The 27,414-nt window shown below is 43.0% G+C and overlaps 1 long non-coding RNA gene across 1 annotated transcript in view; it reads left to right on the top strand.

Annotated features, from left to right (window-relative positions):
- The window catches only part of LOC105376253 (uncharacterized), a 44,641-nt gene extending 28,694 nt beyond the window's left edge, over positions 1-15,947 (top strand). Inside the window, exon 3 of the long non-coding RNA XR_002956934.2 lies at positions 15,375-15,947. This is a non-coding gene — a long non-coding RNA (uncharacterized LOC105376253). The remainder of the gene's footprint in view (positions 1-15,374) is intronic.
- Positions 15,948-27,414: the final 11,467 nt, after the last annotated feature.

The raw sequence follows: 27,414 nt of genomic DNA, 5'->3' as shown, positions 1-27,414 counted from the left end.
CTAACTGTCTTTGCTCATTGTGCATGTAGGCCAAGCTAACTATGGGAGGAATTTAGTTTATAGTTTAACTTTAAAGTAAGGATGATAATAGTCCCTTCCCAAAAGTAACCCCTGAGGAAATAAGGAGGACATACACACAAGTAACAATGTTATGTTAAAAATTGATAGGATGGGGGAGAGCCTCAGGAAAAATAACTAATGGGTACCAGGCTTCATACCTGGGTGATGAAATAATCTGTACAGCAACCCTCCATGACACATGTTTACCTATGTAACAAGCCTGCACATGTACCCCGGAGTTTAAAATAAAAGTATAAAAATTTATGGGCGCATTGTGACCCGAGCAAGGACAAAGAAGTCTCAGACTTCCTGAGACTCCTGCTGGTGCCCAAATGTCAATGTTCACCAGGTATCTCCTGACCTCAACCTCCACTTTCCCCCCTCCTCAATATAAAAGAAGCTTGAACATTGTGACTTTTAAGATGGTTCTTTAGCACGTTAGTCTGCCATCGTCTTGGTTTGCTGCCTTTCCAGAATAAAGTTGCCTTCCTTGCTCCAACTCCTTGTTTCTTGACTTACTGGCTGTCATGCAGACATAATGAGCAGAACGAGTCTGGAGTTGGTTACAGGCACAGAGGAAGCAGCGTGGAGTGAGGGGAAGGCTTCCCAGGAAAGTCTGGAGCTGAGGCATGGGCTGTTGAGGAGTGAGTCAAGGTCCTCCCTGGAATCCACAGATTCCGACTCTACCTCTGGGGCACATGGTGGGGGGTGAAGGTTATTGTTGGACAAGGGTTCTTCATCTCAGGGGAACTTCTGGAGACCCAGGAGAGTGTGTGGTCACTGGGGTGGGGGCGCTGTTGGAGGAGGGAGATGGAGTGTCTGATGTGTCTGATGTAGCAAATCAGGTTCATGAACTTGGAGATGGCAAAATGACACCAGGAACGGACCTTTCTGCCCTCCTGCTTCTTGAAGGCTCTCAGCACATCATGGCCTTAGCTCCCCTTGGTGGAGAGGAGTCAGGTCCCTGGGTCACCTGGGAGCCAGGCCTGGGATGAGTGGAACCCAAGATCACATGAATTATTTCTAATCATGCCATCTGCTTCCTATCAAATGCCGTCCTTCTTTTCTTTCTTCCACCTTCTCTTCCTTCCTCGGACTTTAGTTGAGCATTTCTTCTGTTGCAGGCCCTGTTCTGGTCACCAGGGGTCCAAGATAGAATGAGACACTGTCCCTGCACTCCAGGGCCTCCCAGTGCGGAGTGGCAGACAGGTGAAAAAGCAAACACCTCCATGTCCTGTGGGAGGCACTGGGGTCAAGGAGACCCAGGACCACATGGAACCCCACTGAGGCCCCAGAGGAGGCAGGGCCCTGGCTGCGGCCCCAGGGAGGCATTAATAGAGTCTGCTCATGTTCCTCGTGTAGTCGCACCCCTCATCTTTCTGACTCCCCACCTTGAGGCAAAATCTGGGAAACAGTTTCCCTTTTAGAGAACAAAGGATGGAGCGTGAGGCCAGCCTGATGCATTTACAAAGCCTTCACAGAAAGTGCTGGCAAGGGGCCCAGAACACAGGAATAAACTTCATACCTGGCCAGTCTCAGACACACAGCAGTTGGTTCTTTGGATTGATATTCTGCTCAGAGCTTTGGTTTCATTTATATCCTCCTGAAATTGGGGCCATTTTCTTCCTTCTGTCTTTGGCAAACTTGACTTAATCTTATGTCATACTTAGGACAACTCCAGGCCCATGGTCTCTCAGTGCCCCGGGCTTTACCCTGGGTGAAGAGGCATAGAGACCTTGTACTGTGGCTCGGGGGAGGGGGAAGAATGGGAATCTCAGAGAAGCCCCTTTCTTTCTAACCTGTTTTTATTGAGGTGAAGTTCACATATCATACAATTAACCATGTACAGCTTATGATTCATCATGCTGTGTAACCATTAGCTCTTTCTAGTTTCAGAACATTTTCATCACCCCCAAAGGAAACCCTGATTCATTTGGTGCTCACTCTCCTCCTCTGCCCCGGTGATCACTAGTCTGCTTTCTGTCTCTATGGATTTGCCTATTCTGCACATTTCATGGAAAAGAAATCATATAATATATGACTGTTATGGGCATATGTTGAAGTCCTAACTTCCAGTACCCCAGAAGTTTTCTGTGTTTGGAGGCAGAGTCTTTAGTAATTAAATTGAGGTCATTAGGGTGATCCCTAATCCGACCTGATTGATGGCTCTTGTAAGAAGAGGAGATTAGGACACAGACACACACAGTGGGAAGACCCCGTGAGGACACAGGGAGAAAGTGGCCATCCGCAAGCCAAGGGGAAAGACCTCAGAAGAAACCAACACTGCCAACACTTTGCTTTGGATGTCTAGTCTCCAGAATCACGAAGAAATGAATTTGTTGTTTAAGCCACCCAGCCTGTGGTACTTTGTTATGGCAGCCCTAGCAAACTCATACAGCAACTTGAAAAAAATAGACTTTATTTTTTTAGAGCAGTTTTCTGTTCAGAGCAAAATTGAGCAAAAGGTACAGAGGTTTCCCATATATCCCCCAGCCCCACATATGCACAGCTTCCCTGATCAACATCCTATAGTGACAGGGCCATTGTAGGATGCTTTCAAGGTTCATTCATGCTGTAGTATCTATCGTTACTTAATTCCTTTTGATAGCTGGATAGTATTCCATTGTCTGACTATTCCCCAATTTGTTTCTCCATTCCTCTGTTGATGGACATTTGTGTTGTTACCACCTTTTGGCTATTGTGAATAATGTTGCTATGAACACTAGCGTACACATTTCTATGTGGACAGGTGCTTTCATTTCTCTTGGATATATACCCAGGAGTGGAATTGCTGGGTCATACGGTAATTCTATGCTTAACTTTTTGAGGTGTTTATAGCCTTTTTCCTTGACAACAATTGTTTACAGTGTACCAATCGACTGTCCAGAACCCCATATAGTGTTGTAAAGAAGAACGTGATTCTGATGATGAACTGCCCAGTTCATACTATGGATTCAGTCCTTCCTAGGTGGGGGACGTTGGGCAAGTTAGTAAACTCTGTCACTCATTTTCCTGAGGTGGACCTTAGACGATGGTTGTGTAGATTAAACGGAAATGGATGCAAAGGACTTAATATATATGTCATTCAGTAAGTGTTTGCTGCTTCAAAATCTCTGAACGTATACTTAGGCACATAGCAAGTGCTCGAATTACTGGCTGTTTTTATTATTGTAGTTCACCTTGAAGGATCTGGACATGTGACAATGTCAGGGAAATCTAGGAAGAAGAAAGAGTGAGTCAAGGAATGGTTTAGGGACATATTGGGAAGGTGCATTTGGCTGGAGTGAGGCATAGGAGAGGAAGTAAGTAGGGGCCAGACTTCAGAAGCCTTGAGGACAACCTACTCTTAGTAGCGCCTTGAATGCCAACCTTGGTCTCAGTCCTGGAAGTTCCAGAGCAGAGGGTCAGATGTCACTGAGATCAGCGGAATGAGGGTGGGGTCAGTTTGCCCTCTCACGTGTGAATGGGTAGGAAGCCCTTAGTAACTGCAGCTTTGCTTGCCATGGTTTATGATACTGTAGCTAAATGGCTATACTCGAAATTTTCAAAATTTGTGGGCAAGTAGAGATTTGTTTAATGCAGAATTTTCTTACACCAGAGCCAGAAAAATGTGCCCTTAACATCATGATAACTGATGGAAAGTCCATTCCATAACCATTTTGCCATGCCTTGCAAAAATAATATAGGGAAGAATGCAAGAATAAAAAAGACATCTCATTGTAAACCAGGGTGGCTGGCATAAAAACTTAAAAACAAATATAGTTGGCATAAGATAAAATGTGTTTTTGCATTCTGAAGAAGATAATTCAGGAGTGAAGTTACCTGCCATAGCAGGCATTTAAAAAAATCAGTTTTTCATAAAGCCAAATTTACTCAACTTATGTAACTGCCATTTCTCATGACATTAGGACTTTCCAAATATGTGTATATATATACACATACATCCATAAAAAACATATATGTCATATATCTCTAAATATATATTTTATGTACTATATAGAACCATTTACATATGTATAAGTTACTATTTTAATAATTAAATGTTGTTTATTAAAAATAATGTGTACATGCTTTAAAAATTAAATAATATGATTTTTTAAAAAAGCAAAGAAAAAGCTGCCTCCCACAATTATGCTCACTTTTCATACTCACAGAGATGGTTTTTAATATTGATAAATCTGGTTAGTGCATGCATCTTTTGGAACTTATACTTACAGTATTTAAGCAATATGTCAGACTTTTATTGCCTTCTCCAAAAATGTCCTATTTTTGGTCCAGCCAAATGTGGGGCTTTTCAGGTAGGTAACATAGGGTCTGCCGAGGATTATAGTGAGGAAAGAAAGGCTTCAGGCTAATATCTTCCTTGGAATACTCAGTGCCAACTTACACAACTTTCTAAATTAAGAAAGGATGTCTCCAGACCAATAGAATCATTGTCTGAAACAAGCCCGGAAATCAGGGTTCCTGGGTTCTTGTCACAACATTCCCTGGCTTTTCTCCTTCTCTCTGTTACTGAAGGTGGAGTGGAAAGAGCACAGGCTTGGAATACGAAGGTCTGGGACACACCGGTTCTCAGGCAATTGTGGCTAAGCCCCTTGCTTTCTCTGGATCTTGGTTTTGACATGTGGAAGTAAAGGAGTTGGGAGAGATGTTTGTATCTGTATTGGTTGGGGTTCAGGTACAAAATCACCCAGGGTCTTACAGACTATTACAGTGCTTACAGAATCACTGGGAGCATTGAAAAAACAGATTTTAGGTTGAAATTTTAGGAGCATCTCCCAAAGCCACACACAGAACTGGGACACCAAGGGAGTTGCTGTTGCTGCTATGATGCCGGGTCAGCAGGTGCCTGCCAGGTTGAGAGGCCCCCCTGCTGCTGCAGGTTAGGGCCATGCCACCTCTCCATGATTCAGAGAGGCTGAATGGATGCCCAAGCCCTGCCTTTCTTCAAAGTGAGGGATCAAGCTCTGGGACTTCTGCTACAGCTGCATCAGAGACACCTGTGACTGGGCTTGTCTGCAGAAGGGGCAGCTGAGGCATTTTCTCTCCCTGTGATGCTCCTCTTCTGCCTTCCAAAGCTTGCATGGCAGCATTTGGTTGGCAGAACCTAATCACAGTTAAACCCCAGGTGCAAAGGAGTCCAGGAAGTATAGCTTGTAAATCCCCACACTGCATTCCAGACACATGTTCAAAGAAGAAACCTCCAAGTGGAAGTTGAAGGAGCCGGGATTCCAATTTTTAGGTTTAGCAACTCAAAATCTTAGATTTGAACCCTGGCTCCTTCTCTTGCTCTTTTTCTTTGTTTCTTTTCTTTTCTTTTTTTTTTGAGATGGAGTTTTGCTCTTGTCGCCCAGGCTGGAGTGCAGTGGCACAATCCCAGCTCACTGCAACATCCGCCTCCTGGGGGCAAGCGATTCTCCTGCCTCAGCCTCCTGAGTAGCTGGGATTACAGGTGCGTGCCACCATGCCTGGCTAATTTATGTATTTTTAGTAGAGATGGGTTTCGTCATGTTGGCCAGGCTAATCTTGAACTCCTGACCTCAGGTGATCCACCCACCTTGGCCTCCCAAATTGCCGGGATTACAGGTGTAAGCCACCGCACCTGGCCATGTATCCTTCTCTTGCTGACTGTGTGACCTTGGATGAGTCATGCTGCCTCCTTGAGTCTCAGTTTCCTAGGTTGTAAAATGTGAATAATAAAATCAGCTACCTCCCCAAATTTTATAAAGGCATAAGAAAGTGCCTGGCATGAGGTAAGTGTTCTATAAATACAAGCTTGCCTGGCCACATTCTATGTATTTAACAGATATGAAACTGAGGTTTAATGAGGGGACATCAGGGCTGGAACTCAGGTATCCTGATGCTGAGGCTCTTGCTAGTTGGGAAGAAATATTTTTAGGATTAGTGTCTCCCTAGAGAGACTGCGGGTGGGGCGTGCTGCTGGGCGCTTGGGAGACAGTAGGGAAGGCAAGAGAAGGATGGGACCCATGATATGAGTCAGTTAACCATATACCATTGTGGTATAACACACAAGCTCAAAACTCAGTGGCTTAAAACAAAAATGATTCATTCTCATGGATTTGTGACTTGGCTGGGATGAGGTGATCCAGGCCAGGCTTGGCTGAGAGTGGGCTTGTTCCATATGTTTCTTGCCTTCCTCCTGGGGGACAGTGGCCTAGCTTGGGCATGTCTTTCTCATGGCGTTGAGAGAGGTAGCTTTGTAAGACTTAGGTCAGTCACATCATGCCTGCTAACATCTCATTGGTTAAAGTAAGTCATAGACCCAAGCCTAGAGTCATGGGATGGGGAATTTGCCCTTACCCCTTACCCCTTCCCTCCTTGGAATAGGCAGATCCCACAAAGTTACATGTCCAAGGGTCGTAATATAGGGAGAGATGAAGAATTGGGGCCATTAATACAACCTTCTTCAGTAGGGTTACTGGTTGCTCAAGCCTACTGTTTACAGACCTGGCAGTAAGTAGATTTTGAATTCCCCTATTCTGTATTCTTCCTCCTGTATCTTGGGGCCAGGAGATAACTCTGCCCCTACCTCCACTCACAAGTTTCCCCAAGCTGGTTGATTCCATGACAGGCAGTGAGAGGCTGCCCAAGTCTCCTGGTCTTTCTCTTTTTTTGTGCACTGAAAGCCATGTTAGAGTGAAGGTTAAGAAAAGTTAAGCAGAGACTAAGGATTCGAGAGTATGGGAAGAGGAGATAATACTAATACTAGTGATAAAAATGGTAATACTACTGCTACTACTAATAGTCCAAAAACAAATAAAACCACCAACAATGAAGGAAGAGCATTATTCTAGGAAAAAAAGATCAATTTGCTTTAAGAAAGAACATCTGACCACTTTCCTCCTATGACCATTTTGTCCCAGACCCATACAGTTCTGCTGCTGGACATTCAGATGCTACTGCATTATGTTGTGTTGGGAGGGAAGATGGAGTGTTTGAAGGGCTAGGGGCAGTGCTTGAAGGCTCAGAGAGAAAGGATCATGAACTAGGAAGTGCCAAAGGAAAGAGAAGCCTGGCCTGGAAGAGGGGAATCGTGAGTGGATTTACCACTAATATGCTATGCACACTGAATATCTCACCTGGTACTCAACATCCATCCTCATCCTTTTCTATGTAGTTTCCAGGAAATCTAATAATGGCATTTCCTTGGCTCCTTTGCAGCTAGGTCTGAATGTAAGTTGTGTGTTCCACTGATGAGATGCACTCATGTGAAACTTTGGAAGGCAAAAGGGAGGAGAAGGAGACAATTTTCATCCTGCTATTGCTGCCCATAAGCAAAGTTATAGAGACTCGCATGTTTGTAGCAGGTAGAGTTAGTATTCCAGGTTCTACTCACCAGCTCAGAGGGGTAAGAGCAGATGTGTCAGCAGCAGTGGCAGTGACTTTCTGCTTTTTGGATGTCAGCTCCTTGTTGTGTCTAGTGAATCCCCTGTATTAAATTCCTTCCTGCATGTGAAACACCGAGGATGGTTTCTACTTCCTGTCCTGGACTCGTGAGATCTTTGCCAAGTCTCCATACCTCTGGAGCTCATGTAATGAGTGGTGTGGGTGAGAGGTTAACAATGCACTTTCCCGTTTTGCATGAGATTTGACCTTTCATTAACTTGGTAGCTCTGTTCCTCTGGTAACTGGATAAAAAGGATATGTCAACCTTGTTACTAGGCAGTATTGCTTGTGGCAGAAATGATCCCTTATTGGTAAGCTACTTGTGACTGGGGAGAGTTACCTGATAGGAGGCCATATTTTTGAGCTTCTCTGAGTGCCATGACCCTGGCCCCAGAAGTAGTTACAAGGGATATTAGCTCATGTGGGGCGGGCAGGTTCTCAAGCCGGCCTGATGTGGGTCTTGTCTCCCTGCACTTGAGCTATATTGCTTTGTGGGCTTCTTCAAGGGCTCCTGTAGTTTAGGAACCCTTGATGCCATCCTGTTGGTGAACAGTGTCCCTATACCCTTCTGAGTAGACTGAGCTGAAGATGACCTATGATAGTCTTGTAAGTCACTAAAGTTGGACCTGAGAAGACTCCATGGTGGGCCTTGCAAGGGAAATTCAATGAGATGGAGTCTCTTATTGCCATTCTAGAATTTCCTCTTTCTAGGGATGAAAAACTCACCAGCCACATTGTAACCCATCAACTCAAGTTCTCAAGGAAACAGAACCATAGGCAGCAATTTATATATAGTCATTTCTTGATATCAGTGGAGAATTGATTCCAGGACCCTGACAAATACAAAAATCTGTGGATGTTCAAGTCCCTGATATAAAGTGGCATGGTATTTGCATATAACCTATGTACATCCTCCCACTTACTTGAAATCATCTCTAGATTATTTATAATACCTAATACTATGTAAATGCTATGCAAATAGTTGTTACAGTCTACTTTTTATTTGTATTATTTTTTATTGTATTGTAATTTTTTATTGTCTGTTTTTTCCAAATGTTTTTGATCCATAGTTGTTTGAATCCGGGATGCAGAACTAGTGGATTTGGAGGGCTGGCTGTATTATCATTACAGGGGAAAGCTATCCCAAGGAAGTAAGAATGGGGTAAGCCAGGCACGGTGGCTCATGCCTGTAATCTCAGCACTTTAGGAGACTGAAGTGGGTGGGTCGCTTGAGCTCACAAATTTGAGACCAGCCTGTGCAACATGGTGAAACCCTGTCTCTACAAAAAATACAAAAATTAGCTGAGTGTGGTGGCTCATGCCTGTAGTCCCAGCTACTCGGGAGGCTGAGATGGGAGGACGGCTTGAGCCCGGAATGTGGAGGTTACAGTGAGCTGAGATGGCACCACTGCTCTCCAGCCTGGGTGACAGAGCTAGACCTTGTCAGACCTTGTCTTAAAAAAAAGAAAGGGGTAAAGGGCAGTGAGGCAAGAGAGAAGTTCTGCCAATCCAAGGGAGTGTGTTACTGAGTTGACTAGTTTTGTGCAGTTCATAATAGCTTTGCAAGATATCTTCAGAGGGTCTATTGTAGCTTCAAACAGTTTGCCCAAGGGAAGAAGGCAGAAGCATTTTTCTACTGGCTTCCTTCTCCTATGGGCCAAACTTTTCTCCCATGAGGTAGCAACTTTACCCCTCAGCAGCCACTGGGGGATCTAAATTCTAAGATGGCAGCAAGTGGGCATGAGTCAGAAGCACATACACCTGTCTGCCTGCCTTCTGCCACCTGGGGTCCTGGTTGGGGGAGCCAGTACTCATGTGTGGTCACTGAGCTTTTCCCATGGCATCTAGTACATCCATGGCCAAAGGGAAGGGGCAGGAGGTAGGAGAAGCTGTCAGGTCAAACCCACAAGCATCTTCCAGAGTAGCTCAGTCCAGCTATGTAGGTGGAATACCACAAGCTCAGGACCCCATTGTGGGGATGAAAATGAAGCCCAACAAAACTCCTTCCTATAAAGATCTTGAATTATTCTCTGTGACTTAAAGAAGGGCAGTCATGGCCAAGCAGTCTTCCCGGAGGTTACTGGTAACACTGAGCAGAAAACTATGGCTAGAAGCACAAGAGAGTTGCATTAGCTGAGTCTGATAGGATTGATTAGCTTTTGCATAATGTTGAAATCTGGGCTCTCACCTTCCATTCTCTTGGCGTCAAGCAACTTGCATACGACCACACTGATGGGATAGTCGGGGAACAGTTTAGGGGCAAAGAGGGAGGGGCTGGAAGGACTGGGTTAAAGGGGATGTGTGGCTCCAGAATGCTTGTAGCTACAGGAATGTGGGCAAATGTAGCTGAGACTGTTTGAGGTGATATGCTGAAATGCTAGGTAGAACTTTCTGGACCTTGGGGATCAGATGCAATAATGGATACCCAAAAAAAAAACATTGCATGTGAATTGTAAAGACTTAGAATCCAAGGGAGAGAAGGGGCCCCAAGAGTCACCTTAGTCTACCTCTTCTTCAAGATTTGGATTCTCTCTATAGCAGGATATCCTTCACTCACTGCAACAGGGAGCTCTCTACTGTCACCCCCCACCTTCTGCCCCTCACATTTCCTCTCCTGGCCCTGGGAAGCCTCTTGGGATTTCTGACTTCCTCTTCTCAGCCTCAGCACACTAGTTCTGTTCTTGTCCCTCATGAAACATAGATTCTAACCTTCGCTAGTGAAAACTCCACTGGCCAGTGTCCCTCTGAAGGGCCAGCACCTGGGAAGAAAGTCCTCACTGCAGACCAGTCACATGCCACTGAAGATGCATCAGGCTCAAACCTTTACCAGGTTTGGAGAGGGTTGGGGGCAGAGCCAGTGGCCTTTGGCAGCCCAGCCCAATCCCGTGAGCCCCTGATTCCAGGCTGCCAGGCTGCAGGCAGGCCTTTTCATTAGTGCCAGCAATCAGATGCCCATCTGAGTGATGCCTGGTGCAAGGAGATGGAGGATAATAAGCCCCTTCCATCTCTCTGCTCCCTCCGGCTCCTCTGTCTGGATCGGAGAGCATGAACTCCACTCCTCCCCTTCCCCTCTCAAACCAAGCTTCCAGTGCTCATAAAATCAATGATTGTTGGGTCTGGAAGGAGCTAGGGAGCCCTATCCCTCTGGATATCTTTCCTGTCCACTCACCCATGACCTTGGCTCCACCTGCCGCCTTCAAGCTGGCTTCCCAGACTGGCATTTCTGGCCTAGGTACCTCCCTGGTGCTCCTGATCCATAGATCCTATGGCCTCATGGACATCTCCATTGGGATGACTATGGGCACCTTCCACTCAACATGTCCCAAAACAGGTCATCTATCTCCTCCAGCAAGTCTGTCTTCCTCCTGGGTGAACCCTTACCCCAGTGCACACACCCTGGTCTCCCAATTACCCACTACCTTGCCATTGCAACAGCCATCCGATGGTGGTCCCCAGCCCAGCCCTCCCTGGCCACTTCCCCTCCCCAGTGGAACCAGGTCTCTAATCCCATCACTGTCCTGCTCACAATCCCTCAATGGCTCCCCATTGCCTCATTGTCTGGTTATTAAGTTCTAACTTTATCTCCTGCCCATCTTTCCAGCTTCACCTCATCCTCTTTTCTCTTGCATTTAACTCCTCTGTCAGACCACACCATGTGTGGTTCCCTCAAACACCCATTCTGTTCTGTGGCTTCAAGCTCTTCTCTTTCTGAAGAACGAAGAGTGTCAGCACCTGCTCTCTGATCTGAGCCCTCCAGTGAGTACTTTTTGTACCTCAAAACCCTACTTAGGCATTGGCTTCTTCCTGAAGCCTCCTTCAATGTGTTAGAGATCCTTATCACTCCTCTTAAATTACTTATATATCCTACACACACCATTCATTCATTCAACACATTTTGTTGAGCGTCTACTAGACATGTGAACCCCACCATCACGAAGCCTGCAGTCTGGTGTGGGAGACAGACTTTACATACACAGACACACACACACACACACACACACACACAGAGTAATACATGCAATAAAGCAAAAGAATAATGAAGGAATAGAACACACTGGTGGATAGGGGATGGGAAATATTATTTAGCTTGGGGAGTTATGGAATCCTTCACTGAGTAAGTGACATTTGTGCTGAGACCTGAGTAGTTCTTCAGGGGAAGAATAGAGAAAGGGCATTGCAGACAGAGCAAACATCTTGTGCAAAGGTCCTGAGGCAGGAAGGAGTGTGGCACATTCAAGATAATGGAGAATATATGAGAGTGGCTAGATCTCAGAGTGCAAAAGAGTGGATGGGCTGTGATGAGGCTGGAGACAGAGGTTGGGACCAGACCACACAGGAAGAGAGGAGGCCTAGGGCAGTGTTTTAGATGAACATGTGTGTGCAGGAAGGGACTGGGAATTCTGCCAGTTGCCAGCAAAGTCTGCCTCCCTATCTCCTTTCCAGCCTCTTGGGGCAGGGACGCTGGTTGGGGAGGGAGAGGAGGTTAGGGTGTGTCTAGTGTGGGTGAGGCTGCATGGAAAAGGGACCATGTGTGTAGCTCTTGAGCAGAGTCATTGCAGCAGAAACACACACAAGGAGCCGGAGCAGACCAGGCGAAATCTAAATCCTACACCCAGAAGGCTCAGGGGGAGGCGGGAGGTGACTTTGGGTTTCTGACCTGCCCGGTGAGTTGGGAGTCAGAACTAATGTCATTTGATTCTCAAAGCTGCAAGGTGATCCTGGCAGCCACTCGTGTGACCTTGATGTCAAGGTAGATTCTCAATAAATGTGGATGTGGATATGAATGGAACTTGATTGGTCCCTTAGACCTGGAATCCCTCTGAGACATCTTAGTCCCAAGCAAAAAGGGGCTTTGGCTTTCTTCCACAATCCCCATTCTGCTCTCTACTCCAATTCCTGTTTGTTCCATTAACCAGACCCCCTTCCCTTCCCTGGCCATCCCTCTCTCCATTTGTGGCTTGCAAAGATTGTCTGATGTGATGCCTTTTAAAAGTGCATTTAAACATGACTCCCCCAACCCTGAATCCTTTCCAGAAGCTCTTGCTTTTTAAATATGGGGGGCTCTGGGCTCCATGGGGGGAGGGCTGCAGTCCACTCTTGAGCTGATCCTCCCTCTTGCCAGGCCCCTTCCCCCGCTCTTGAGCACTTAGAGCAGGCCTTGCAGAGTCAGCGATAAGCGATCCTATAGCAGGAAACACACACTTCAGCATTTAGCTGGTGGCCACTAATGTGCCTGGATGTAATTGCTTAGAGAGCCCAGGACAGGAGTTGGGGGTGGGGATGGCACTGGGGCTGCAAGCCCAGGATTCAGAGTGATCTGCTTCCTTTTGGTTAATTCAGCAGTAAGTGTGTCTTGCCCAGGACTCCTACCTAGAGCCTGGTTTGAGACCTGCACACGGTAGGTGTTCAGGAAGGACCCATGGAAGGCAGGTGTGAGGGAACAAATATCCCTGTCAGTTCTTGGTTTTCAGGTGGGCACTAGGGGGAGTCATGGGTCACTGAGGGGGCTGACCTGGGAGGGAACAGAGAAGCAGCTTTAATTTGCTGCTTCACGGAAGGGACCTTCCCCCAGGGCATGCCCTTTGTACTTCCCCATTTGTTCAATGGGGACAATTATGCCTGCCTCACAGGGTGAAGACTAGAGAGAAAATACATTACAGACCTGGCACAGTAGGTTCTCAAGAAATGGGAGTGCTTCAAAATCATAATAACCAACATCCCTGCTGCCATGTTCTTCCACCCTAATCCATTGTCCCCAAAGCCTCCCAAACTGCTCACTTAGGCACGAATCTGAACCCATCTACCCCTCTGATGGCTTCCCATTGCCTGAAGGATAAAGCCATAACTCCTTAGCTTGGTGTTCAATGTCTTTCCAGTTCTAACCCAGCTTCTCTCTGACCTCATTTCCTACCACACTCCTACCCACACTGCAGACATTCTGAATGTCCTGCACTTGACTGTCTCTGGGTAATGTCAAGTACATGGGATGCTCATTCACTTTCCTAGAGGTGAGTGCTGTGCCCCAGCAAGGATGGGTACCCACCTCTAGTCTGGCTAGTGCCTGCTCACCCATCATTCTCAGCCTCCTGCCCCTCACAGCTAGGCTGAGTGCGAGGTGGTACCATGAATCGGGAATCCTGTGGCCTCCAGTCAGACTGCATGGGTGTGAATCTATGCCCTTCTGCTCAGAAGCTGACTCACCTTAGGAAATTTTATGTAACCTCTATGAGCCTCAGTTTCCTTATCTATAAACTGGTGACGCTAAACGCAGCACCTTGCGGGGTTTTTGTGAAAGTGAAAGGAGTTACTACTCCACGGTTGTACCTACACGCCCTCCATTGCTGCGGTGCACATTTGCCTTTAAGACCAGAAATGCTTCCTGGAGGATGTGTGAGTAAATATTCTCTCCTTAAATATTTGATTTAAAGAGCTTGACTTGGAGGACAAAATAAAATAAAGCGGCAGCTTTTTGCCATGTATTATTAATGTCTGTAAATGGGTGAAGGTGCAGGCTCTCTGTCCGATGATGTCATTTCTCGGAGCAGCGGCCTTCAAATAAGTTTCCCTCATTGAGAAGTGGGCTGTAAGAGGGGGAAAAGGAAATCTCTCTCCACAAAGATGAGGCAGCAGGTATCCTGCATGTGGGCCGAAAGGAGGCTGGCTGTGGGACCTGGAGATGGCAGGGAGAAACATGGTTCATTATTTCACCCATCCATTCATCCACTCGTTCCTATCTCAGAGCGCATTGGTCTTCACACTTCCCTTTTTTCTTCCCTTCTAGTCCCTACCTCCTTTCCTCCTTCCCTATGTACCCTTCCTTTCCTTTCCTCACTCCCTTCCTGCCTGCCAGCTTTTTTCCACACTCAATACCACCGATGATGGTAAGGAATATTGTCTCCATTGTATCAGTGAGAAATCTGAGCCTCTGGAGAGTGAACTTCACACAGTGAAGAAGTGGTGGGTAGGGGCTTTGAACTCTGCTTAGGACCATACGTAACTTGCTTGGAGGCGGGAGTTGTGTGTGTGTCATCTTTGTCTCCCCATCTCCTGGCCCGGCAAATGGCTCAGTGAAAGTGCCAATTCCTTGTCAGATGACCAGGACAGGAATTATCCAAGAAGGCTTCCAGGAAGAGAAGGACTTGAAACAGTCTTTCAAGGACTGGAAGGACTTAGAATTCAAAACAGAAAGATGATTGTGATCATCAGTAAAATCATAGTTATCACTTACCAAATATCTACTATGTTTCTGCCACTGGACCAAGTACTTGTACATATCTAATTGCACTTAATTCTCACAACAGCCCTATGAGGTAGGACTGTCTTACTGGTGAAGAAACTGAAGCTCAGAGAGATAAAATGACTGGCCTGAGGTTACACAGTGAGTAAGCAGTGGAACTGGTGTTTGACCAAAAATCTATCTGACTCCAAACCTGTGTACGTTCTTAACCTCAATGCTCAGCTGGTCTCAACCCTGATTAGGTGAGCATCCAGTCACAGGCTTCCCTTGTGAAAAAAAGGGAGAGGTTTAGGAGGGAGTGGTCTCTCTGGGGGCCTCTTGCCTCTGACCACAATGTGCTGATGCTGAAATTGTCCAAACAATGTCCTGTGGGGCTGCTCTCCCTCCCTCTCTCTGGTCCCTTCCCAGGGTTAACTTTTGGGTTTCTACAATTGGGTAAAGGAGAGCAGAGCCTCAAGTTCTGTCTCTGGACGCCATATGGGAGACAGGGAGCACACGAGGCTCCAAGGAATTCCCTCCTTGGACTTGGCCTTAGGGAGCAGAGGAAAGCTCTGCAGCCTTTCTCAAAGTCAAAGATCGTCTAGTATGGAGTTTCTCCATCTACAGATAAATACATCTGTAGAGCTAGCTTGGGAAACACTCATTTGGTTCAACCTTTTTTCTTTTCTAGAGACTGGATGGAGTCAGCTCTTCATCCTTGCAAAGTCCACTCTGTCAACATACAGGGAAAAAAATTCTCAGGAATACGAGCTCTGAGGAGCATCCTAGCCAGGACTCACACCACTCAAGCAAGAGTCTAACTTCTTGCTAGAGTCCACTCATCATGGCTGTCATGTCAGGTGTGGGGGCGTCAAGGATGCTTGCTGGGCTTCTGGCTTGAGCAGCTGGGGCAGTGACAATGTCATTGATTGATATCAATGTCAAAGATGTGGGAAGAAGAGATGCAGGGTGCTGAGCTCCACTTTGGATAGGCTGAGTTTGATATGCAGATGGAGAGATCCTCAAGAAAACTGGACATATGGGTTTAGAGCCCAGGAGAAGGCTCTCAGCTGCCGATAGAGATTTGGAATCTGTTACTTCAGTGGTTAGATGGGAAGCTCCAGAAAGGAAACTTTTCAGAAGGGAAACTTGCCTGATGACAGTGAATAGAACGAGAAGAAATGAACCCTGCATGTTGAAGATGTACTCAGAGGTCATGGACCTCATCACAGAGACCCAGAAAAATAAACCCTGTGTTCTTGGAGCTGTTATTCAGGTGTTTCTTCTACTGCTGGTGGAGGTTAGATTTCAGGCTTGGCCTTCTTGTTCATTTCAAATGAACAAACAATGGTAACCCCTGCACTAAAGATGGGAGCACAGAGGCATCACACATGGATCTGCCCTCAAGGTGTTTACACCCTAGTGGGCAAGCCAGACAGTATCTTGTGTGAAGTGTAGAAATTGAAAGCTGCACACCAGTTCATCCAGACACACAACAGATGGGAGAAAACGGCGCCTACAAATGCTTCGGTAAAGGAAGGACCCGTTCAATTCAGTAACAATATTGCCTGAGTACAGGAAGATGTTTTTCCCCCAAGATCAAATTGATAACAACAGGTCCCTTCACTGTGCCTGATTTATCTGCCAAGCAGATATCTCCCCCGTGTGACCACGTTGCTATACCTGTCACCCCCGATACAGGGACTAGACAAATGCCCTCTCTAGATTTCAGGTACCAGTAGGAGAATGAAATCATAACTCACTTTAGAAGCCAGTGATACATATTTATACACTGACTGGCACAGGGCTGAAAGAGCTTTTCACTTTGATTGTGCATTTCTTGGTGTCGGATGGACATCAATCTTCTCTCCAGTTTGTTAACACGGCTGCCACTCAATCCAGATTTACTGTCACATGACTGACTGTGCAGAGACAGTTAATCATGGGAACAGTTACTTAATTTGCCCCATCCGAATTTTTCCCTGCAACGCTGATGCCTGATAGTGCTCTGTAAACGACATTTATTTTCTGTTTAAAAAAATTCTTTCTGCACCCAGCCGCCCATCCTGCCCCACTTGTGTTTTCCCCAACTTCTTGTTTAACAGAAGCTGCAAATGTCAAAACTATCTATAACTCTGCTGAAGGGATGCCAACATCCAAGGCCAAACAAAACCCATGTAAACTGTCCTTGGCCCATGTCGAATGGGCCTGATTTAATGAACTGGGCTAATTATTTTTTGGAGACTTAACTTAGTTTAGCTATATTGAAAGTTGAAAGTTTACATTGAAAATTTAGCCATATTGAAAAGAACAATCTATTTAATACTTTATATTCTCTCTCGGGATTACGTGCTCCCTCTTAGCACTTTTTCCCATAGAGCTTTCAAAGTTCTTTCTACTGTCTTTTCAAGCTGATTGAAATTTCAGCTGTAAGCACCTACTCTTTGCCAGACATTGAGATAGGCACTTTTCATTTATTATCTACTTTAACTATGGGAGGTAAGCATAATTAGAGATATCAAAACTTGTGAGGTAGATTGAATTCACTTGAATTTTTCTGATTCCAAACCCATGAGCATTCCTTACACGTTCAAGATTAAATTCCAGATTTCCCAAGGTCAAGGGAGTCTTTAAATTGTCTCTGTGAAGTGAGGGAATGTGCTGTAAAGACTGAAGCCCAACCTTTTAGGGATAGAACAAAGAAGTTACCTAGGGCTTATTAATTACCTAGGGTTTATTATTGTATGCTGAGTAATATGGTTATTTTATTTAATCTTCATAATAATCCTAAGTGGAATGTTCTACTTTTATTCCCATTTTACAGATGAAGTTCAGGTCTGGAGAGGGGAGGCACTATGATTTGAATGTTTGTGTCACTTCCAAATTCATGTTGAAACTTAATCTCCAATGCAGCAATATTAAGGGGTGCAACTTTTTAGGAAGGAATTAGGGGATGAGCAACCTTATAAAGGAGTCTGTGGCCAATAAGATAGGTTTTATTTGCCCTTTGTACCTTCCACGATGTGAGAACACAGCATTTGTCCCCTCTGGAAGACACAGAAGTCAAGGTGCCATCTTGGAAGCTGTGACTGAGCCCTCACCAGATACTAAACCTGCTGGTGCCTTGATCTTGGACTTCCCAGCCTCCAAAATGGTGAGAAATAAATTTCTGTTGTTTATAAATTACCCTGGTCCTTGGGTATTTTGTTATGGCAGCACAGATTAAGACAGGAGGTAATTTGCTTGAAGTTGCACAGCTGATAAATGACAGCAGTGGGATAAAACTCAGATCTTCCCAACACCCAGGTCTGTACCCATAATCACTCTGCTGGGCTCCCTATCACTTGGCTCCATGAATTCAGATTCTATGGCTGCAACCATTGGCGTGCTCAGTCAAGAGCTATCCAGGCTGGAGTCATGAATTCATGACTGAAGGGGTGGGGAAAGGGGTCGGGGAGGAGATCAAGATTTAAAATGAAAATAAGGGACTGGATTCGTCTTTGAGGGAGGAGATTTTTCAGTGTTTGTAATGGTATTGTCAGTTACCTTCAGCGTTTCTGGCTGGAGAAAGGTTTTGTTGTTGTTTTACTTTAATGGGGATTTGTGGGAAACGTATGAAAGAGAGATGGGTCAGTACTTGGGGGTAGGTATTCGGGAAATGGACACAAATGTGATGGAGGCCTTGGTATTGAGCTTGCTATAGTCCAGGGGTCCCTAACTCCCAGACCACAGACCCTCTTAGGAACTGGGCTGCACAGCAGGAGGTGAGTTGTGGGCAAGTGAGCGAAGCATTATCTGTATTTACAGCCACTCCCCATCACTCACATTACCTCCTGAGTTCTGCTTCCAGTCAGATTAGCAGTGGCATTAGATTCTCATATGAGTACAAACCTTACTGTAAACTGCATATGCGAGGGATCTAGGTTGTATGCTTTTTATGAGGATCTAATGCCTGATGATCTGTCACTGTCTCCCATCACCCCCAGATAGGACTGTCTAGTTGAAGGAAAACAAGCTTAGGGCTCCCACTGCTTCTATATTATGGTGAGTTGTATAATTATTTCGTTATATATTACAATGTAATAATAATAGAAATAAAGTTCACAATAAATGTAACGCACTTGAATCATCCCCAAACTATTCACCATCCACCCCAGTCCACAGAAAAATTGTCTTCCACAAAACCAGTCTCTGGTACCTAAAAGGTTGAGGACCACTACTACAGACAACAGTTGAAGAGAACAAATAGAAGAGAGGGATGCTGCAGGCTGACTTGGGCAACAAGGACAAACCTTTCAACTCTTTACAGAGAAACTGGAAACAGTTGTGATTACAATGCTTGCTTCCTCAAGTCCTATTAAATAAGGAAGTATCTCCAGGATGTATTCTGCTAGGGTGAGCCCTTTAGGGAGTCCCTGGGTGCTGGTGGTCTTCAGGACTCTGTCTGTCTTTTCCCTCTTGTCACTTCATATCCTTTCCGTGAGGAGCTTCATTCACTCCCATGGAGTCAACTCTCCTGCTTATGTCTCCAGCCCAGCTCTCCCCTCAGTTTTCCTTCTGGAATGCTCCACCATGTCCCACAGGTCTTTCAGCATGAGCATGCCTGGAACTGACCTTATCATCTTGTCTTCAAGCCTGCTTCTCCTCTGTGTTTCATGTCTTTCTGAATGGCATCGTCCTCCATTGAGTCACCCACTGAGAGAGGTTCTAGGGCCTTTCTTGCCCTCAACCAGCTGGTCACTAACTACACATTTCCTACATTAAACTGGTCATGTTCCATACACATTTCCTACATTATCTCATTTAGTCCTCACTGATGACCTACAAAGGATGATCACCCCCATATTACAGATGAAGAAACTGAGTTACAGAGAATGTAAATGACTTAGACAAGTCATTTAGTGCTGGTATATGGTAGATTTTGGACTTGAACCCAGCTCAGTCAACTCTACCTACTTTCTAAATGGTTTTTATGGATCAGGAAGAGATGTTGAAAAGTTACCACCATTGTATTAATTTGCTGGGGCTGCTATAACAAAGTACCCTAGACTGGGTACTTTGAACAACAAACATTTATTGTCTCATGGTTTGGGAGGCTAGAAGAAGTTCTAGACCTTGGTGTTGGCAGGGTTGGTTTCTTCTGAGGACCATGAGGGAAATATTTGTTCCAAGCCTCTCTGCTTGGCTTGCGGATGGCCATCTTCTCTTAAATGTCTTCACTCTAATTATCTCTGTAAAGACCCCATCTCCAAATATAGTCATAATCTGAGGTACTGTGGGTTAGGACTTAAATATATAATTTTGGTGGTGGGGGTGGGGGGGACAAAATTGAGTTCATAATAACTGTAAACTAGAAAAAAAAACTTTAAATGGAAAGGCACCCCTTGTTTGGAATAAGAAGTGTTAACATTGTACAATTGGTAATTTTCCTTAAATTTACTTACAAATTCAATATGATATCAATAAAATAATAATAAGTAATGACAACATAATTCTAAGATTCATATGGAAATTAGAACATGTGAGGTGAGAAAAGACAGGAATAATCTGAACATTGGGGGTGAGGACTAACCCTATGAGATATCAGAACATATTTTACAATGATAATGATGAAAATACTATGATACAGGGCATAGATAGAAAGTCCAGGAAGATTCAAAAACATGAAGGAACTTGACTTTTAATAAGTTAGCATTTGAAAGAGTATGGAAAAGATGGATAAATGGTATTGGGTCTGCTGGCTGTTCATTGGTAGTAGAGGATGGGCAAGCTGTATTCCTACTTGTTTGAATTGCAAAATAGACTGCAATTTAATAAAGATTTAAATGTAAATTATGAAACCATGGAGTACTAGATGTAGACATCACTGAAATTAAAAGAATATTGGAGTGGCAATGGTTCTTCTAGGCATTGCATATAACTATGAAGCCAAAAAAAAAAAAAAAACAGAAGATAGACTAATGCATTAAATATAATTAAAAACACTTGTGCATGGCAAAATGCCATATGTAAGTCAAAAGCAAACACTAAACTGGTGAAAATATTTGCAAAAAAACTGACAGAACCATTTTTTATTAAGAGAAGTTTTTAAAAGTTATAAAGGAAGAGCAAAAGAGAAAAATGGGCAGAGGGTATAAACAGGATATTTCCAGAAAAAGGAATACAAATGCACAATAAATGTTTGAAAAGATGGACAACCTTACTCATAACTAAACAAATGAAATTTAAAATAAAAATAAAATTGCATTTTATCTATTATAGATTAATATATATCAAAAAAGCATAGAGAAACTGAAAAACTTAAGTGTCATTGGTATTGTAATGGCACATTCATTTGGGTAGGAAATTTGGCAATATGTAATACATTCGAGCAATTCTATTTCCAGGTATACCTTAGAAATTATCTTAGTTTTGCATGCAAGGGACCATGAACAAACACAGCAGAATTGCTGGGGTGCAGGGTATGAACATTTTTGAATTTACAAGATAGTGTCACATTATTCTCCAAAGAGTTGTACCAATTTAATATTCCATAAGAAATGTATGAGAGTTGTTTCTCTACTCCTCACCAATATCCAGTATTGTCTAATGTTTTCATTTTTGCTAGTCTGATGGGTGAAAGGGGATCTTATTGTAATGTGCATTTTCTGATTAACAATGAGGTTGATTATCTTTTCTTATGTTTATGTTAGCCATCAGGCTTCCTCTTTACAGAACTGTTTGAACATCTTTTGCCAATATTTTTATTGGGCTGTTTGACTTGTGGGAGTTCTTAACATATTCTGCATGCTAACCTTTTGTCAGTTACATACATTACAATATTTCTTCCCAGTCTGTGGCACATCTTTTATCTTTATTTAAGACAGTCTTTGTCATATATTAGTTTAAAAAATTAATGTAGTCAAATTTATCATTTTTTTCTTCGTGAATTGTGCCTTTAATGTCTTATTTAAGAAATTGTTTGCTACCCACGGTCAAAAATATTTTATGTGTTCTCTTCTAAAACTTAAAAAAAACCCATCATTACAATAATTTTCAAAGACACTCAAAAGTAGAAAGAATTAAGCAAGGTATTCCCACGTCCCTTTCCCTTAGTTTTAACAACCATCAACTTAATGCCACTTTGCTTCATCTGTTTTTCTCCTGCCTCTCCCACTTTTTTCTAGGGTATTTCAAACAAGTCTCAGACATTGTTTCATCAATAGCAATGTTAGGGCTGATTCCATGCCGCTCCCTTGCCAAGAAGAGTGAGTACAGATAGAGACGTGAAGGGCAGGTCTGGGCTGGGCATTGAGGAGAGTATTATGCTATGAAGTATACCTCACCTTTGCTCAAATCTGGCTGGTTGTCCTCACCCCATTGCCCCTGTCGAGCTCGGTTTCCTCTCTCTCCTGCACCCAGGGGTCTTTCCAGAGTATTGCGTCTTCTCCAGCCGAGGGATCTGCCTTCTTTCCTAAACTACTATGGAAACGGTCCTGATGTCGAAGACACTGTCCACTGTGCCGCAGCCCACCCTCTGCTTTCTCTAGCCAGAGCACACGCTCAGCCTGTGCCAACTTCAGATCTCTGCAGGTGGTTTTGTGGAAACGTCATGCGCACTGGTGCCTTTTCCACAAATGTGAAAGTTGAAGCATCAGGAAGCTTAATTATTGGGCTGCACAGGATTTGCTAAAAGCAAAGGAGAGAACCCCATTTCCTAGGCATGTGTCTTGTGAGCCATTTTCATTAGTCCATTTAAGTGGACAAGCTCCAAAATGCAACCTGAAGCTGCTGATGATTTAGGCATTTTACACTTGAGATCATTAGGCTCATCTCAAGTTGGGCCTGACTCATCAGTGTCTCAGAGACACAGGTGGGACCTGATCCCTCTGGAACAGATAGTGTTCCAGCTTTGTGGGACTACTTTTAAGATGTGGAGCACTTGGAGTCATTTGAAACCCGTTATCTTCAGTAGGGACTTTCCCTTCTAGAGAGCATGTGCATTTTGATTTTCCCTGTCCTCAAACTGACCTTTTGCTCATTTTAATAGTAAAAAACACACCCCCGGGTGGAGATTTAAGATGCTAATGAGACATGCAACATATGAATATCATGTACAGCTACTGCACATGTGTACCCAGAAGAGCACCCAGAACATGTTTACTAGTAACACCTCTTTCCACCTCCTTATGAATAATCATGTAAAACTCCCAGAAAGGGGATTTCTCCAGCAGCAATCAATGCTGCATCACCCTTACGAGCAGGCAGCCCTGGAATCTCTCAGGGTGTACTGTCTATTGTGCACTTAATTTTCAAAATAGTCTTCTTATTTTGCAATAAATTACTCTATGCTGTAAAAAAAAAACAAAGTTGTAGGTAACAGATAGACTGTTTAAAAAAAGTTTAAAATGTTGCTTTTCACATATAATCATTTCCCTTTTACTGACTGAAAATGTCAACTAAATCATATATATATATATGCTATATATATGTTATCTGCTATATATATGATGTGTGTGTATGTGGGTATACATGCACATATATATATATATGGCTCTCTATTCCAGTCCATTGATTTATTCATTTACCCATGGGAAAATAGTATGCTGTTTAAAATACTTTAGCTTTATTGGAAATGTTGATATCTGAGCCAAGTCTTTCTCATTATTCTCTTTCAAAATTATCTACACCACTCTTGACTCTTTATTGATTCATGTGAATATTATAGTCAGACTATCAAGTTCTAAAAAATAAGATTGTGAAGTTCTGTGAAAAATTTCAATGTTCATCTTCACCGGAATTTCCTTGAATTTGTAGATTTATTTGGGGTCAGTCCTGGTATTGAGTCTCCACCTGTACAGAATGCTGCATTTCTTCATTAATTTATGTATTTTTTGTTATCGATAATGTTTTATCATTTTTTCTTAAAACTCTAGGAACCTTATAGTTTCTATCACTATTATGAGTGGGAATTTTTAAAAATTACATTTCTAATTTGTTGCTAGTGTATATGAAGTTGTTGACATTTATATGTTGATCTTGTGTTTAGTGTCCTTATTTAACTTTCTTATTAATTTTCATATTTATTTGTAGATTATTTTGAATTTTCTGTGTAGGCAAACATATCAATTGTGAATAAAGACAATGTTGTTTCTTTTTCAAGCTTTATGCGTTTTACTATGTAACACATTTTTCTTGCCTTATTGCATTGGCTAGGAATTCCAGTACAATGTTAAACGGAAGGTGTGATAGTGGATGTCCTTGTTTTGCCCCAACTTTAAAGAGGCTGCTCCTAATATTTAATTATTATGTGAGATACTTGCTGTTGGTTTTTTAGAGACACACACTTAAGCAGATTGCCAAAGTTTTTTTATGTCTTGCCTGCTGAATTTTTCTTCATCTTGATGTGCATTAATCTTATTAAATACTTTTCTCTGCATTTATGGAGTCACCACATAGCTATTCTTCAGCCTACTGATGATGTGGATTACCTTTGTAGAATTTTAAAGGTTAAACCATCCTTAAATAATGGGGATAAATACTACCTGATGAAATTGTATTAGAAAAAAATTGCTAGCTTTAGTTAATAAAGCTTCTAGTTTTTAAAGATTTTAGTTGTTTAATTTTTAAAACAGCTTTTAGTTATTTAGCTTTTTAGTTAAGCTAGTTAACTTTTAAAGTTATTTAGTTTTCCAAGCTTTTAACATTAATGTAAATGATACTAGCTTAAGTTTTCTTTTCTGATGTGGTCATGTTTTCCACTTTTGTGGAGTGAATTTTTGTAGTGTGTTCATTTTTTTTTTCCAGAACACTGTCCAGTTTGTTTTCACATTTATTAATATAAAATGTTCACTATTATCTAAGGTTTTTATTAAATTTCTAGTGTATAGAGTTATCCTCCCTTTCCATTCCTAATTTGTTTAAATCTTAATACTTTCTAGCTTTTTGTCTGGTTGAATGATCAGTTTCTGAGAAAAGTGTATCAACATTTGTGACCCAGACTGAGGATTTATTAATTTATTCTTACAATTCTGTAAATGTATGCATCATAGATTGAGGCTTTTTGTTATGTATGTACATGTTCAGGATTGCTGAATCTTCAAGGTTAATTGTTGTTTTTTCTTAATTCCTAATAATACTTTGTTTTAATTCCTGTTTTGCCAGAAACTAAAATTGCTATGGAAGTTTTGTTTTCCTGGTGTTTTCCTGATATGTCTTTTCTGACCTCTTTATTTTCCATTATTTTGTATTTTCATATTTTAGATAGGCTGGTAAAGTATATCTAAGTAAGCTAAAGTAAGTCTAATTTGAGAATATCTGTTTTTTAAAACAGTGGAGCATAATCTATTTCTATTATGTGGTTACTAATATTTACACTTACTGTTACCCATGTTTCCTATTTACCAGTATTTTTCTTTGCTTATGTTGTTCTCTCTCCTTAGTATCTTCCAACTGAATGATAAAATTTTTCTTATGCCCTTATTTTCCTCTGTTGGTTTGGAAGTTGCTTACTGTATTGCCATTATTTTAGCGGGTACCCATAAACTTCTGACATGTACCCACCAGCGGTCTGTCCATAGGATGGGGAAACAGGCCCCAGCACCACTAGCTCACAGGGGCTGGTCTCCAAACTAAGGTTGTCCGTAGCAACCTTTTTTTCTAAGTTGCGATGCTTATTGCCAATTCTGGGAAAAACAGGAAAGATTTTTCCTGTACCACCTGCTCTGTAAGTAATTATTATGAATAAATTGGTTTCCTGATCAAATCAGGTGAGGCCATACATAAAGCAAATGGGTAGAGAGTTTAATATGATTGTATTAGTTTTTTCTTGCTGTGTAACAAATTACTACAAACTTAGTAACTTAAGATGATATCCATTTATTACCTCACAGCTCTACAAGTCAAAAGTCTGGTTAGGCTTGACTGGGTTCTCTGCTTAGGGTCTCCCAGGACTGAAATCAAGATGTCTGAAGGATGGGCTCGTATCTGGAGGCTCTGGGGAAGAACCCACTTCCCAGCTTATCCAGGTTGTTGGCAGAATTTAATTTCTGTGGTTGTAGGATCAAAGTCCCTGTTTTCTTGCTGCTGTCAGCTGGGGGTCACTCTCAGTTCCTGCACATGGTCCCCTCCATCTGCAAGCCTGTAGCATGCATACAATCCCTGCATGCGTTGGGTCTCTGACTTTCCCTTCTGCTACCAGCCAAAGAAAACTCTTTACTTTTAAGTGGCTCATGTGGTTTTGTTAGACCCATCTAGATAATCTCTACTTGAAGATCAGCTGATTAGCAACCTTAAGTACATCTGCAAAAACCCTTCACAGCGGTATCTGGATTAGTGTTTGATTGAAGAACCAGGGGCTGAGAATCTTGGGTGGCCAGATCTTAGAATCCTTCTTGACACAATGATGAAAAGAGTTAACATGTGACCTGATCTGGAGAAAGGGTGTTGGAGGCATTTTGGCTGTTTCTGAGAAAGAAAAGAACGCTTCCCTGGGAGTCCAAATTTCTATATTATTCTGACAATCGTTTCATAATTTAACGTCTTAATTCTTCTAATAATCGATTGAGCACAGCAGGAAGGGGGGTGCGGCGGCTAGGCAGAGTGCTAGGCACTGGGAACATGGCTTTTACTGCTAATGGAAAAATGACTTGCTTTGGTGCCATACCCAGCTTGCCCACACCCCAAATCTGCCCCTAATTTGGTGGTGACTATGGTCTTGCCACTTGGCCTATTAGATGTTTTCTTCATCTGTAAAGTGGGGATGCTACAGCCTGATCAGCTATCACATGACAACTTCATTCCTAAGAAACTCACATTCGCAAAAATTGTCTTTCAGAAACATTTCTAAAACGAGGGTAAACGGGTAAAAAGGGGTAAAAAGAAGGCTGAAGACTTCTTTTAAACTCGCAAACTGTAGTTTAAATCATGAGGGAGTTTTAAACATTAGCACTAGAGATTATTTTGTCATTGCACTTCAAAATAATAATTTGGTTGATTAAAACTGATAAAACAAAATCCGAGCAACACAGTGTGTTCTACCAAAATTAATGTGTTAACTACCAAAATAAATGGCAGCCACCAACTTGAGCAGAACAGCAGGTGAAACTATTTCAGCAACCCCTCCCTGCTCCTGACAATATGTGTCCTTCTAACTTGGCTAATTTGTCCTGGGGATATAATTGGCAAAGTGGGGCAGGGGGTTAATTGTGTCCCTTAACTAAACTCTGGCTCTCAATTTCATCTATGTTGGGAGCATTCGTGCAAGGGAAGAAATGTCTTCAATACAGAGCCTCAGCGTTTCCATCTGTAGCAAAAGGGTGGCTTTAGAAAGCACTGCCAAAGGTGAAGCACTTGGCTCAGTGCCCAGGATGTTGGAATTATTTAACAATGTTAGTTATTATTTTTCTTATTATTCATTGCCTCCACCCCAGTTCCTCCTACTGTTCTTTATGGGCTGCCACTATTCCCGCTCTCCTTTGGACATTCTCCAGTTTAAAAAAATGCCTTTTTCCCTGCTACCTTCAAGGAATCTGTAGTCTGGGGATTGAGGGGGAGGTGAGCATGTGTATGGCTTATCATCATGCTGTGTGGTAAGTACTGTAAAGGATGTGGGTGGTGGGAGATGAGAAAAGGGGGTGATTTTTGCTGGACTTGGGGTTTGTCACATTTAGCTGTCATGGAAAGATGATGTTCAGGGCAGAGATACAGGGGAATGACATCCCAGTTAGAGGGAGCAGAGGGCTCAGAAGCCT

This window comes from Homo sapiens, chromosome 9 (assembly GCF_000001405.40).
Source record: "Homo sapiens chromosome 9, GRCh38.p14 Primary Assembly".
NCBI classification, from domain to species: Eukaryota; Metazoa; Chordata; class Mammalia; order Primates; family Hominidae; genus Homo; species Homo sapiens.
The sequence above is the reverse complement of the archived record's forward strand: the minus strand, read 5'-3'. Positions and strand labels throughout refer to the sequence as shown.